This window comes from Homo sapiens, chromosome 1 (assembly GCF_000001405.40).
Source record: "Homo sapiens chromosome 1, GRCh38.p14 Primary Assembly".
Classification (NCBI taxonomy): Eukaryota; Metazoa; Chordata; class Mammalia; order Primates; family Hominidae; genus Homo; species Homo sapiens.
The window spans coordinates 100,020,504-100,036,671 of NC_000001.11; the positions used below are offsets into that span (position 1 = coordinate 100,020,504).

At 36.2% G+C, this 16,168-nt stretch overlaps 1 protein-coding gene and 1 long non-coding RNA gene across 20 annotated transcripts in view; one reads left to right on the forward strand and one right to left on the reverse strand.

Annotated features, from left to right (window-relative positions):
* Positions 1–15,131, forward strand: part of SLC35A3 (solute carrier family 35 member A3) — a 65,639-nt gene extending 50,508 nt beyond the window's left edge. For all 11 annotated transcript variants that reach the window (NM_001438725.1, NM_012243.3, NM_001438728.1 and 8 more), the window contains one exon: positions 1,883–15,131. In NM_001438725.1, coding sequence (NP_001425654.1) covers positions 1,883–1,973 — 91 coding nt within the window. In that variant the 3' untranslated portion in view covers positions 1,974–15,131. The remainder of the gene's footprint in view (positions 1–1,882) is intronic.
* LOC124904230 (uncharacterized) overlaps positions 1–16,168 on the reverse strand; it is a 124,812-nt gene that overhangs the window by 107,307 nt on the left and 1,337 nt on the right. The window lies entirely within an intron of this gene.

Below are 16,168 nucleotides of genomic sequence, written 5' to 3' on the forward strand. Positions count from 1 at the left end.
TTTTATGTTATCCTAATAACCTTATATGTATAACTGCATTCGAGTCTTTTGAAGAGTTAACCATTTGTATCAAGTCAAATCTAGTTATTAATCATAACAGATAATTACTGAGCTCCCTATATATGCTAGGCACTGTGGCTACCACAGTGAATGAAGAGCATATGGTTGAGCAGGGGAGTGGACTTGTAAATAATGCATCATTTAATGACAGTGTGGTAAGTGTTATGCTGGGGTAGTTCTGCCTAGGGGAGTGAGTCTTGGAGACATTAGACCTGAATTATTATGAATAAGCATTTTCTAAGAAGCAAGGAAACTGTGGACAGAGGGAATAGTATCTCTAAAGACACTGTCAAGAAAGTGTATGTTGTGTTCACTGATTGGAGTGGCTGAATTATAGATTGGGTGGCATGAAGTGGGAAGGATGAGTTTGGAGGGACCATATTATGAAGGGCCTTTTAATAATGATTAGTAATTATTTTTCGTTTATAGGCAATTAAAAACAAAAAAACAGGAGCATGGCTTTGGACTATTAGTAGAAACTTTAAATCCAAAACTAGCTTATGTCTCTATAATAGCATTTTAAAAAATGTACACATTAAAAGTTAAGATTGCACTTTGGGAGGCGGAGGTGGGCAGATCACTTGAGGTTAGGAGTTTGAGACCAGCCTGGCCAACATGGTGAAACCCCATCTCTACTAAAAATTCAAAAAATTAGCGGGGTGTGGTGGTGCACACTGGTAATCCCAGCTAGTCGGGAGGCTGAGGCAGGAGAATTGCTTGAACCTGGGAGGCGGAGGTTGCAGTGAGCCGAGATCACACCACTGCACTCCAGCCTGGGCGACAGAGTGAGACTCCATCTCAAAAAAATAAATAAATAAAAGTTAAGATTCAGGCTGGTCACAGTGGCTCATGCCTGTAATCACAGCACATTGGGAGTCTGAGGCAGATCACTTGAGCCCAGGAGTTCAAGATCAGCTTGGGCAACAAAGTGAGACCTCAGCTCTACAAAAAATAGAAAAATTAGCCAGGTGTGGTGGTTTGCACCTGTGGTCTCAGCTACTTAGGAGACTGAGCTGGGATTGCTTGAACCCTGGAGGTCGAGGCTGCAGTGAGCCATGGTGACAGCACTGCACTCCAGAGCCTGAGGGACTGAGTGAGACCCTGTCTTTAAAAAGAAAAAAAAAAGTTAATATTTGTAGTCTAGTTTACATATCCTGTCTAAATTCATTTCTGATTTATTGTAAAGTAGACTATATCTATAAATATATAGGATAAAGAGGAAACCAAGAACTCCCTGCATTTAATGTAATTTCCCTTTGTAAAGCATCCTATAAAAATTGGTCCTGAGTTTTGCTTATTATTATCTTGGATTTTAAACTAAACTTTACCTTGGTTTAACATGACAGAATAAAATATTCCTTTCGTATGTTCAACTAAAGAATTAAGGCCTTTTGTTATTGAATGTATTGTATACAAAATCCCTATTAAGGTGAAATACAGAACTTAAAATAGCTTTGCTTTGGAAGACAGTATAGTGCAGTCGATGAGAGTGCAGGCTGTAGAGTTAGACATACCTGGGTTTGATCCTCTTGAAGTTGTGGGACTTTAGACAAGTTATTTAAATTCTTTAAAACTGTTTCCTCATGTGTAAAAAATGAATACTAATACATCTTCATAGATTTGCTGTGACAACTCAATGAAATAATGCATATAAAGCACTTAGCCAGATACCTGGAATGTAGTAAGTACTCAAGATTTGTTAGCCGTGTTACTGGAACATTTTTCCCCACATTATAATTGTTTTTATAGTAAAGAAATAGAAGGAACTTGTTCTGCTTTTAATCTGATTTTCTCTTTTTTATTTTGTCTTCATCTTATTCAGTGTCTTTTTCCTTGGAGCCATCCTTGTAATAACAGCTACTTTTTTGTATGGTTATGATCCCAAACCTGCAGGAAATCCCACTAAAGCATAGTTGTATACTATCTTTAACTGGTTTTTCACGATGGGGCACTAGGAATCTCGACATTAATCTTGCACAGAGGACTTCTACAGAGTCTGAGAAGATATCATCATGCTGAATCTGATCATACTGTTTTTTAAAAGTTTAAGGATAAGACATGTGTATATGTAACAAAACACATTGCATCTAGAAATCAAAACTTGAAAGTATTTCCAGGGATTAGGATTAGAAGGAATATTAGAGGAAACTTGAAATCTGAGTTTAAAAAGATTTTACCTTTTTGATTGCTGCAGAAATGTCCTATGCACTCTTTGCAAGAGCACACAACAAATGTCAGATACCAATTTTTGCAAATTAGATTTAATCTTATTAAATGTTTTTATCTTACTCTTTCTGTACAGATATATCAAATCACATGAAATATTTAAAGTTTGAAAATTATAATTACCTATAAAGCTGTGAAAAATAGAAGTATAATTTGAAAAAACATTTCACTTATCAGAGATTTTTATATTTATACAAAAGATTACTAAATGAAGGATTGCTAAATGTTTTTGGTTCAATTACATAAAAATTAATATTCTGGGTCTGATCTGTCAGAGAATAAATATCAAATCTAAATTTAATGTAGAGATACATACTATTTCTCCATATGAATTTTAAGATATTTTAGTGCTTCAAGACTGCTGAAAGCAATCCAGTTGCTCCTGTGCTAGATGGTAGCCAGAGAATTTTATAGTAATGGAGGTTAGCCCTTAATCTCTTCATTGCATTTCATTTCTGTAAATCAGATTAAGTCCTTAATATTATTTTAAATTAAAATTTGTGTGTAATTGCCATTAAATTTTCAAAATGTAATTTAAAAGGATTAAATACTCATTTAATAATTTAAAATAATTATTGTATAATATCTACATTTGGAGAATTTTGAACTATCAAGCATATACTGTATACAGTTAGAAAGTTATTAAATGAACATTTTACTCATTGATCTGTAAAAACTTCTTTAATCTACAACTGTTTACAAAAACAACATTCAAACAAATAGTACAGATGTCAGTGACAGAACAAAATGACTTTTCTTGGAGACATTCCAGATTGCCATATTACTTTATTTTAAACAGCGCTATGACTTTAAATCCAAGGCTGCTCGGAAGATTTTTTTAGGTCTCTCATAAGCCTATTCTTCCCTGATCACATGAGTGGGAGAGGTAGCCAAATTTTGAATTCCCTTTCTGTGTTCCCACAAGAGCTGCTGAGAAGGCCTGGCGCAGTGGCTCACGCCTGTAATCCTAGCAGTTTGGGAGGCTGAGGCAGGTGGATCACAAGGTCAAGAGATTGAGACTATCCTGACCAACATGGTGAAACCCCGTCTCTACCAAAAATACAAAAATTAGCTGGGTGTGGTGGCACGCACCTGTAGTCCCAGCTACTCGGGAGACTGAGGCAGGAGAATCACTTGAACCCGGGAGGCAGAGGTTGCAGTAAGTGGAGATCACGCCACTGCACTCCAACCTGGGCGACACAGTGAGAGTCTGTCTCAAAAAAAAGAAAAAAAAAAAAGCTACTGAGAAGGAGCCACCATTTTGCTTTAAAATAGTGGGTTTTTTTCCTTTTTAATGAACACTGGAGCTGAGGATGCAGATTACATGAGTTATTTAATAAGTTGATTCAAGAGAGAGAGAGTATATTAGAAATGGTAAGATGATTTGGTGGGCAAAAATGCTTTCTATAATTTGAATATGGGTTTAATTTAATTATTAACTATAGACAGAATTACTTACTGAGTATAAGAAGTATTTTACTGTCTGGGCACAGTGGCTCATGCCTGTAATCCCAGCACTTTGGGAGGCCGAGGCGGGTGGATCACAAGGTCAGGAATTCGAGACCAGCCTGGCCAGCATGGTGAAATCCCATCTCTACTAATAATACAAAAATTAGCTGGGCATGGTGGTGCGCGCCTGTAGTCCCAGCTACTCAGGAGGCTGAGGCAGGAGAATTTCTTGAACACACCAGGTGGAAGTTGCAGTGAGCCAAGATCGTGCCACTGCACCCCAGCCTGGGTGACAGAGCGAGACTCCGTCTCAAAAAAAAAAAAAAGAAAACACACACACACACACACACACCCACAGTATGAATGAAAAAAATAAAATACTTCTTTTTTTTTTTTTTTGAGACAGAGTCTCACTTTGTCGCCAGGCTGGAGTGCTGTGGCGCGATCTCGGCTTACTGCAACCTCCCACTCCCTGGTTCAAGGGATTCTCCTGCCTCAGCCTCTGAGTAGCTGGGATTGCAGGCGTGAGCCACTGCGCCCGGCCTATACTGTATATATTTTTAAAGACTGTTCTAATAGATATAAAAACTGTAAAAAATAAGTATTTTTATATAGCTCTCATGGATTTTATTAAACAGAATTGGCTCAAAAATACTATGTTACAGACTGTTGGGTACCCTTGCCTAACGTGAACTGGCAGTGTTACCTTGCTTTTGCAGTAATAGTCTACAGATTGCAGGTCTCATCAATTCCATCCAAAGTTTAAAAGCATTTAAAATTACCAAATCTTTAAAATCACTTTGGTGGTGATTCCAAATTGGTACCAAGCAAACTTTCTGGATGCCCAACATGATTTTCAGTAACCACCCTTTAGAGTATTTGTTTACTAAGTTCACCACATTTTGAACATGGTAGTTTTAGACTGCAATAATATTTAGACTTACATTATTACTTACTGCTAAGTAAAATCTAAATCCTGCAAATGCACAGAATTCAAGCTGAAATATAATGATTTATGTTTAGCTCACATTGAAGTATTGGTTGGTTACTTATGTATTAATGCAGTGTGCATTCACATTTAATCAGGTTTAGTCTGTTTCTATTTTAATAATTTTAAAAAATTATACAAGCAAATTAGATATTAGACATGTTAGTTACAATGGTAACACATTTTTAGGTGTCGAAACACAATTTTCAAAATTCCTAATGAAAGTTATAAAAATGTAAACAAGAATTGTAAAAATGGACAAAGTAGTCAAATATATTTTCAAAGCACAATTTTATTAGACAGGCATAATTTACATTTTGCTTTTCTAGTGGGTTTGAAAATGTTTATTGGAGATTGGGCTATGTAGTTTATAATTTTTAATTCATAAAAAAGTAATCATACATGAGAAGGTAGACCTGTGCCCTAGGATCATGTCACATATACAGATAATGCCATTTCCTTGTGTGTGTGATGTGTGTTTTGATGACCTCCACAGGCCTTACTGTATCAAGCTTTTATAATGATGACTCCTTCATTATTTAAATTCCTATACTTTTTATTTGTTATCACGCAACTACTTTGTTCAATGTGAAAATGTGCTAACTCATGGGAGAAGAGTGCCAATTGATAGTTCTTTTAGCAATTAAGAATATGGTATTTGGGAAGAAAAGTTTGAAATGCAACAAATGGATATTTCAACACAGTAGTATTATATTATCAGTTCTTTAGTAAGTGATTTTAGAGATGTTGTAGGCTACTTTTACGGTGGAATATATAGTATAGAGATGCAAAACTTAAATGTTTACATCAATTTATATTGAATGTCACATAATTTCATGGAAGGAAAGGTAGCTTGATATTTAGATTCTAAGATATAATCTGAAAGGAAACTAATTATGTTCTCTACACTTACTGTAATACTGATTATTCTTACATATCAAATTATTGAACTTTAAAAATTTCATTGTATAGTCATTAAACTGAGTTGGGTTTTTTCTTAAAGGGTTTAGCATCACTCATTTGATTTACACATTCACATTATAATATTTAATTATCATGGGTGTATGCTTTACATAAAAAAGGTTTATAAAAGTTATTTATGCTATATTGAAAGTCATCTTAAGAATCTCCAGGTTATTTAAAGTAGTTATAGGAGCAGAGAACAAGCACCTTTATCAAAATCTGGTCCTATGTGCCTTGCTTTACCAAATACCTGATTTTTCTGGAGGGTGTTCCTGTAATTCACAACTGTAGACACATGGGCAAAATTAGGATTTTTAAGAATAAATACATTTCTATTTTTTTGGTTGTTTCAACATTAGCTCTTCAAATTCATTAACAAAATTAAAATAGGTATATTACAAAAGCATAAACATTTGTGAACAGTACTTAAATAAATTGTGATACTATTGCTCCATCATTGAACTTTTTGAAACTTTAACAATTGTATAAAACTGTCAGTTTGTTGTTTCATTTGTAATTACAAAATAATTTAAAAACTTTTTAAAATAATTTGGATCCTGACTTTGTCTATATCTGTATTTCATTTGTTTAGAAAGATTCTTTTGGGTTTGATAATGTAATTTGTATATTTAAATTTTTTATGGACATAATTCAAAGGAATGTATAAATTGGTCTTTTGTTAAATGGCTTTTTAATTGATAAACTTCTCTTGTCATTTTTTGGTATCCAGCTATTACCTATTTAATAGATTTATTGAAATAGATTATTTTCATAAAGAACTCTATACAAATCTTTTTCTATATTTCCTTATTTTCCTATTTACCTGTGTCTATGACCTAACCTATGAATTAGTCTTCTCTCTTTATATATCAAAAATGAATTACTGATCTTTTTCTCTGGCTCTGTAGTATCTCTATCACTGTCACATGTGATCTTTCTTCCTTTTCTCTAGCCCATATTCTAGCATGAAATACTGGGTTGGCCAGGTGCAGTGGCTCATTCCTGTAATCCCAACACTTTAGGAAGCCAAGGCAGAAGAATCGCTTGAGCCCATGAATTTGAGGCCAGCCTGGGCAACATAGCCTTGTTTCTACAAAAAATCTTAAAAATAAAATTAGCCAATATGTGGGCATGCACCTGTGGGGCCAGCTACTCAGGAGGCTGAGGCAGAAGGATTGCTTGAGCCCAGCAATTTGATGCTGCAGTAAACCATGATGACACTACTGGACTCTAGCCTGAGTGACAGTGAGACTCTGTCTCAAAAAACAAACAAAACAAAAACTGAAACAACAAAAAAAGACTGGGTTTATTTAAGCTAGTTAGAATTTATCTTTCTATATGTTAATAACAGCCTAACAGATTTTTTGTTTTAAATATCTCTAGGCTAGCCTCAAGGTTAAGTAATTATAGAAGTTTGGTATGTATTTTCTTCATAATTTGAATATAATTGCTTCCATTGTGACTGTCAATTGAATGCATGGAGATCAATTGTGATAATATACAGGATTTTAGTCCTATCTCTACTGCTGAAGTAACCTTACACAAAATACTTTGTAAAAAAATCACTAAAGTGCCAGCATTTTTAAAGTGTATATTTTTCTTTGGCAACCTCTCATGAAAAGCACTAACTAAAAATATTTAATAATCTTTTTTGTATTACAGTGCTTCTTTTGTTGGAAATATATCACAATCCTCAAGTTCCACTGCTATGCAAAAGTATCTTAGAATCTGAATCTTATAGATAATACTACCTTTTTTTTTTTTTTTTTTTTTTTTTTGAGATGGTGTCTCGCTCTGTCACCTAGGCTGCAGTGGTGTGACCTCACTGCAACCTCTGCCTCCCAGGTTCAAGCAATTCTCCTGCCTCAGCCTCCCTAGTAACTGGGATTACAGGCCATGCCACCACGCCCAACTAATTTTTGTATTTTTAGTAGAGACAGGGTTTCACCATGTTGGCCAGGCTGGTCTCAAACTCCTGACCTCAGGTGATCCGCCTGCCTCGGCCTCCCAAAGTGCTGGGTTTACAGGCGTGAGCCGCTGCGCCCGGCCAATACTGCCTTTCAAAAGAGACTGATAGTGACCAGCATTAGTAATCATACTGGTGGGGTTTTTTGGGGTGTTTTTCTGTTTTGTTTTTTGTTTTTTGTTTTTGAGACAAGGTCTTCCTCCCGTTGCCTAGGCTGGAGTGCGGTGACACAATCTTGGCTCACTGCAGCCTTGATAGAGCAAGCTCAAGTGATCCTCCCAGGAGCCTCGGCCCCCAAGCAGCTGGGAATACAGGTGCGCGCCACCATGCCCAGCTGATTTTTGTATTTTTTTGTAGAGATGGGGTTTTGCCATGTTGCCCGGATTGGTCTCAAACTCCTGAGCTTCAGTGATCTGCCTGCCTTGGCCTCCCAAAGTGTTGGGATTACAGGCGTGAGCGACCACACCCAGCCCATATTGGTCTTTCTTACTGTTCTTAAAAAGAGAATTCCTTTAAGGCAGGACCGATTACATATACACTCTAGAAAAGAAAATAGCAAGGAAGAAATAAATTGCCTTCAATTACCAAAGATTTGAGCTTCTGCTATGGCTGAGAGTGTTTTGGTCATTGCAAATTCAGGGGTTTCCCAAGTTCACCCTCAGTTCTGGCTAGAAAGAGAAAACTTACTAAAAGCTATTATACTCACAGTCATATTTATTACAGAGAAAGGAAATACAAATTAAAACCAGCCAAAGGAAGTGACACATAAAACAGAGTCTAGGAGTGGTCCAAACTTGAGGCTTTCGGTGTCCTTTTCTTGTAGCGTCATGGAAGGTGTTATCTACTCCTGACCACAATGTTTGACAGTACACACATAGTATTGCCATTCAGGGAAGCTCACCTAAGCTTTGGTGTCCAGATTTTTATTGAGAGAGGCTCTATTAGTTGGCATGGTTGGTTGATTTTTTTGCCCATGTAGTTGTCCTCTCTTTCCAACATCTGCCCCTCCCTGGAGATCTGGTTGACATCAAGACTTCAGGGCCTCACCATAGGTTATCTCGTTAGCATAAACTGTCAAGTGTTGTCTAAGGAACCCACAATGAATAATAAAGACATTCCTATCAGTGAGAACTCCCAAAGACTTACACCAGAACTTTCTTTGGATGGGCCAAATTTCTTACTACACAAAGACCATTCATCTCTATACACTTCCTTCTGAATTGATGAGGATGATACAAGCAACGACAATTCTTCTTTTCAGAGACTTTTAATTTTTTTTTTTTTTTTTTTTTTGAGATGGAGTCTCGCTCTGTCACTCAGGCTGGAGTTCAGCGGCACGATCTCTGCTCACTGCAACCTCCGCCTCCTGGGTTTGAGCAATTCTCCTACCTCAGCCTCCCAAGTAGCTGGGATTACTGGTGCTCACCACCACGCCCAACTAATTTTTGTATTTTTGGTAGAGACGGGTTTTCACCATGTTGGCCAGGCTGGTCTCGAACTCCTGACCTCAGGTGATCTGCCGGCCTTGGCCTCCCAAAGTGCTGGGATTACAGGCATGAGCCATCACACCCAGCCCAGAGACTTTTAATTTATACATTGTCATTTTTAATTTTAGAATATCTGTCAAATGATTCTGAACATAACATGAATCTAGTGTGGAAAAATGTTTATAATCAGATATTGTGTTAAGAACATATATATATATATAGAGAGAGAGAGAGCATAGTATTGTCATTTAGTTTTCACTTCTTATGTTTAATGACAACTTTATAAATGCTGGACTATTTTAAACTACAAATTTAAAACATGGTTTATAAACCTTTTACCTGTACTGCATATTAATAAACAATTTTGAACTAATTTTAAATTAGGCATTCCTATCACCATTATAAGGAAGAGCTAAAACCTGATACCAGTTGTTATTTTGGCTCACAGTAGGGCTTCACTAGTGTTAGGATCACATTTTCCTCCCTTGGACCTGAGAATCAGGTGTTTTTCGTTTAATGCATTTATTTTCATTCATTCATTTAGGATTTCTAAAATGTTAGAGGTAATTTGTTTAAAACAAATAACATGGTGTTCTTTTGGAAATATACAGTTTATCTTAGATATACACTTTCCTCATTTTAAAGGTAGAACTCACTGCAGGTTTAAAAGAATAATGAATATTGTTACAGTGTTTAGTGATAATCACTGAAAATTCACGTTAAAATATACTTTAAGCTTGTCCAACGCGCGGCCTGCAGGCTGCATGCAGCCCAGGATGGCTTTGAATGTGGCTCAACACAAATTTGTAAACTTTCTTAAAACAGTATGAGATTTTTTTGCAATTTTTTAAAGCTCATCAGCTATTATTAGTTACTGTATTTTATATGTGGCCCAAGACAATTCTTCTTCTTTAAGGGTGACCCAGGGAAGCCAAAAGATTGGACACCCCAGCTTTAAATGTAGAGTATTTAAGAGGTTCAGTTAAATGTACTAAATCAGACTTGTGTGATTTAGACACAAAATCTGTGTGTGTGTGTGTTTGGTCTTTTAAAAGATACTGCATGTACAAACATGATTTCTAATAATTGAGGGTTTATTAAGTTTTTCCCTTTAGGCTAAAGTTTTATTTTATTCTGCTTGGATAGTAAATACAGCATTTTAAAATGATGATGCTAAGTGCTTTTTTAATATATGCATGCTGCTTCAATAGGTCTTTTAAATATAGCCAAGGCAGGGTAATATTTCCTGAGTGATGATAGAATTATAGAAAATCATGAAAGATGTGTGCCCATGTTTCATTTTATAACTGTTCCAGTCATATTGCTATGAATTCTAGAATTTTAAAACCTGCCACACTTATTTTGGATGTTATATACACATAATGCCTCAAATTTCCATTATTTCATATTATTTTTCTCCATTTCCCTCGTGTCAAGTTTCATTTTGTTTTCAATGTTTTGTTTTTATAATATTGCCATTTTAATGGCTTCAATCATGCTATGACAGATTGTGCCAATTTAGCTTTAAAAAACTCATGGGCTACCTCCATGAACTCACACATGCGGCATTGTTAAAGAACCTTTTTTAAAATTAAATTTTCTCCAGCTTTTCATTTTGCAGCATACAAAAAAATTGAAAAATTGGTATACCACCTAAATCCAACCATTATTAACATTTTGCCACACTAGCTTTATCTCTGTTGGGACACTTTACCCCTACATACTCCAGCATGCGTGACCTAAAGATATGGACATCTTCTTAATTAACCTCAGTGCCATTATGACACCTAAGAAAATTTAAATTAATTCAGGTCACTTCATCTAAGTTCAAATTCAAATACAATTGCCCCTCTGTAAACGTGGGGGATTGGTTCCAGGACCCCCACCTCGTGTATACCAAAATTTGGGCACACTCAAGTCCTTAAGGGGAAACCGCGTATAAGAAAAGTCAGCCCTCCCTATGGGTGGGTTTCACATCCTGCAAATAACTGTGTTTTCCATCTGCATTTGGCTGAAAAAAAATCTGCATATAAGTGGACCCATGCAGTTCAAATCTGTTGTTCAAGAGTCAACTGTATTCCCAGTTGTCTCAAAAATGATTTTTTATAGCTTTTTTGTTTTGGAACGAGGGTAAAATCAAGGTTAATGCTTTGTATTTGATTGTCTCCTTTGGTCTTGAAGTCCCCTTCCTGCACCACCACCTGCCCCTCAATGGCTTTTTTATACCAAGAGACTGAAAATGCTACCTCTAATGACTTTTCTCCCCATGATAGTACTCTTTGAAGGACCAAAGTTACTTTGCTCCTATTATGTGGTTTGATTTGTTCCCTTTATTCCTTTCATGTCCTTTGAACTGGAAGTCAAGTCTATAGGTTTGATTACCTTCAGGTTAAATGTATTGGGTAAAAATATTTCACAGATTTTATATTGTATCATATTAAAAGGCACAGATAATCTCATTATTAATGTTGGTAATTATTTGGTTAAGATGATGACTACCCCATTGTAAAGGTTATTGTAAAGTTCTCCCTGTGGTAAAGGTCATTTGTTCACCCTTAGTAATCTATGGAGTAATGTTTTAGCACCAGGAGAATATTCTGTTTCCCAATGCCTTTAGCATCAATTGATGATTCTTGACTGAATCATTTATTACACTGGGGTGCAAAATGGTGATAAATTTTTTTTAGTGCTCTAAATTTCTTCTACATTTATTAGTTTATATTCTTTTTTAAAATAAAAAAGTATATTTCCCTCCTGTTTCTCTAATATCCCTCTTTAAAAAAAAGACCATGTCTTCATGAATTTAAAAAAAATTACTCAATATATTATAGCCAATCGGTCACAGTTCTTTTTGATGCTCATATATATTGTGAGCCTCTAGCCCATGTAAGTCACAGCAAGCTAGCTCTTGGGTTTTTTTTGAGATGGAGTTTCACTCTGTCACCCAAGCTGGAGTGCAGTGGCACGATCTCGGCTCACTGCAACCTCCACCCTCCGGGTTCAAATGATTCTCCTTCCTCAGCCTCCTGAGTAGCTGGGACTATAGGTGCCTGCCACCGCGCCTGGCTAATTTTTTGTATTTTTAGTAGAGATGGGGTTTCACCATCTTGGCCAGGCTGGTCTTGAACTCCTGACCTCGTGATCCACCCGCCTCGGCCTCCCAAAGTGCTGGGATTACAGGCATGAGCCACCGCGCCCGGCCACTCTTGTGTTTTTTAAACATGACCACATTAGTCTTTTAGTCCTTATTTGCTTTAGGCACAAGAAATCTGAGGCTTACCTTATATTTGTCTTGTTCCAAATTTGGATTATCAGCTAATTCTCCAAGGAGCCCTATACCTTTTAAGGGGAGTGGGATTTATTTAATTTTTTCTTTGGAGTCCTTCTAGCCAGTGAATGGAATTTATTATAGAATCCATTGTTACTGAGCTGTCATTGTTTCTAGGCCATTTTAGTGGACATAGCTAGGAAATACAATTTTAAAAGATCATGAATTCAAATTAATATTTACAACTAAAATTTAGCAACATGGCCAGGTGCAGTGGCTCATCCCTGTAATTCCAGCACTTTGGGAGTCTGAGGTGGGAGGATCACTTAAGGCCAGGGGTTCAAGACCAGCCTGGGCAACAGAGTGAGATCCTGTCTCTACAAAAAAAAAAAAAAAGATAAATTTTTTCGAAAAGTTTTATATGAAAAGTGTACTCTGAAAAAATCTAGCTGTCATACCTATCCCTCCATTCCTAACCATCTCTTATAAGTAATTATTATCCATCTCTTATAAGTAATTATTATAAGTATTTTCTTAGTTTTCCAATTTATCTTTCATGTGTTTCTTTTTAAAAAGCAAACAAATATGCATATTGCTGTACTTACTGTGCCTCTTTCACAACATGGGGTCTTTATAAAATTTCTTTGGATGTTTAGAAAGGTTTGTATGCTCTAATTTATACTGATAACATTTTATATAATGCATTTAGAGTCCCCAATTTGCTTGTCTAGGCCTCTACTATTTAATTTGACACCTTTAAATGATGTTCTTTGACTCTTATCTAATTGTCTATGTGACCGTCAGTGAATATATTATCTGTTCATATTTTCTGTAGTCTTATTTCTTTTTGATTAGAACATATAATATTTACACACTATTTTCCCATCCTAATCCCCACCTTTGTAATAAAATTAATTAAAATTTTAAAAAAGTATATTTAATAACCTACTGATACTTACCTGAAGTCTCTCTGGTCAACTTTTGGCTGGATGAAGCTCTTCTGTAGAGTATTCAAGGAGGGCTTGTAAGTACTGTACAATATTCTCTGAGTTGTGACATGTTTAAAATTTCTTCTGGAGCCTAGATACTTAAAGTACACCTTGGCCATGTAGAAAATCCTTGACAAACATTTCCTTTTCTTGAGTTTGTCTGAATTTGTGCTTCACTGTTGGGTTGCTTGATGTTATCATCAAGAAGTGTGGCACCACTTGATTTTTTTCCCTTTTGGAAATGACATTTTGTTTGTTGTTTTTTACCTAGAGACCCAGATAATTTTTTCTATATTATTTTATCTATGATCCTTTTTATCTCATTTTTGTTCTCATAGCTGTTTTATTCCTCTTCTCTGTATTTCTTACTTTACTTTTATTTGTGTCTCTCAGGTACCCTGTGATTTAGTTTTCATTTTTAGATGATTTTATCTTTTCAGTATATTGCCTATGTTTGTTCAACTCTCATTTTACATCTTACTATTGAGTTTAAAAATTTTTATTTGCTGTGTTCTTTTATATGTGCAATTAATGATATTCATGTTGGAGTGTTGTATATTATTTGCCTCTGCTTCATATTGTCTAGAGGGTAGTATTTTCTATTGATTGAAAAGTTTTCATTTTCTGTTTTTTATAATAGCCTTGTATGGATTTTTGGTGGCTTTTCTATTCATGATTAAATGTGTAGGATCTTCTTCAATCAGCAATAACAGGTGGCTCTATAGAATGGAGGGTAGAAGGGATGTGGGTGACTTACTCAGTTTTTAGTTAAAGAGGACCCTCTTCTGTTAGCATGGTGAAGTGCAGTTTCTTTAATAAATTGTGCATGGTGGGGGTGGGATTTGGATTCTGTGATACAATCTTGTTTCTTTAGGAATCTTTTACTTTTGGCCACTTGCCTTTCTTTCCAAGGAATCCCACTCCCTTTCAAGGTGCCTCATGAACTGTTTTCATGAACTTTCCAAACATTGGTTTCTGCTTGTTTCTAAGCCTGATTCTTGGCCTTCTCATTAATTTTCAAAACTTCCAATATCCTTCCAAATAATTCCCTTTTGCTTACGTTAGCGAGTACTAGTTTGTTAGCCAGTGTTAGTTTCTGTTGATCCTAACCAAAAAACCCTAACTGAGATATCAGTCTCTTAGCGCAAAGTTTGTGAATACGGTCATCCCTCCATATGAGGAGGGGAGTGGGAATTGGTTGTGGGACTTCCGTGGATATCCAAATCAGTGGATGCTAAAGTCCCTTACATAAAATGGCATAGTATTTGGTTATCATCCTCCCCATACATCATCTCTAGATTATTTATAGTACTTAATACAATGTAATGCTGTGTAGTCATACTGTATTTTTTACTTGTATTTTTGTTGTTTTGTGGGATTTAAAAAATATTTTTATTCTGAGGATAGTTGAATCCACAGGATACTGAGGGCCAGCTGTATTCACAACCCAAATCACATACAAAGCGACAAGTTCATACACAATAGGCCTATTAGAACAGGACTGTTCTCTCTTGTTTATCATTGCAGCCTTTCTAGCACAAAGCCTGGGACATTCTGGACATTTAGTATGTGTTAAATTTCTCTTACTACATTATTTCCAACAGTATTTACTGCAATCTGCAATTACCTTCCTTTTGTTTTGTAACTGTGTCCCCCACTAGAATGTAAGCTCTGTGCAGATAGTGTCTCATTTATTGATGTATCCCTGGCATCTAATAAAACACTGACAACACAAGCACCCAGTAAATATTTTTTGAATGACTGAACAATAACCAGTTCATAAGGCTGATAAAATTGGTATAGCTAGATGAAGTATGATTTTGAGGGACTATGAAAATCAAAGTAACCACACAATAAATTATCAGCCCTCTACTTCCATTCAAAACAAGCTCCTGGGAATTGAATTATGAAATCTATCATATTACTTTCTCTAAAGAACTTCAAGTTGGGTGTCAACTAAAAAGTTGCAGGCGAGGCGCGGTGGCTCAAACCTGTAATCCCAGCACTTTGGTAGAACTGAGTATCTCTTGAGGCCAGGTTTGAAACCAGCCTGGTCAACATAACCAGACTCTGTCTTTACAAAAGAAAAATTAAAATTAGCCAGGCATGGTGGTGTGCATTTGTAGTCCCAGATACTTGAGACGCTGAGGCAGAAGGATCGTTTCGGAAGAGGCTGCAGGAGGCCATGATGGCACCACTGCACTCCAGCCTGGGTGACAGAGTGAGACCCTGCCTCAGAAAATAATAATAGGCCACGCATGGTGGCTCACACCTGTAATCCCAGCACTTTGGGAGGCTGGGGCGGGAACATCACCTCAGGTAAGGAGTTCAAGCCTGGCCAACACGGTGAAATTCCATCTCTACTAAAAATACAAAAAAAATTAGCCAGGCATGGTAGTGGGGACCTGTAATCCCAGCTACTCGGGAGGCTGAGGCAGGAGAATCACTTGAACCTGGGAGCTGGAAGTTGCAGTGAGCCAAGTTGGCACTATTGCACTGCAGCCTGGGCAACAAGAGCAAAACTCTGTCTCAAAAAATAAATAATAAAAAAAGTTTCAAAATGAGAATATATGTTTCAAAACAAGTATAATGAATATACTTATTGATTGGAAAATATAATTAGAAGTATCTATCAGGCTATAAATTGCTTTTCTTCTCCCTTCCATGGAAATTAGTTTTTTTTTCCATTTTTAGTCAGTATGAAAATACAAGGAAAAGGAAATTCAATCAAATTTACTTTTTAACATTTTATTTGGAAATAATTTCAAACTT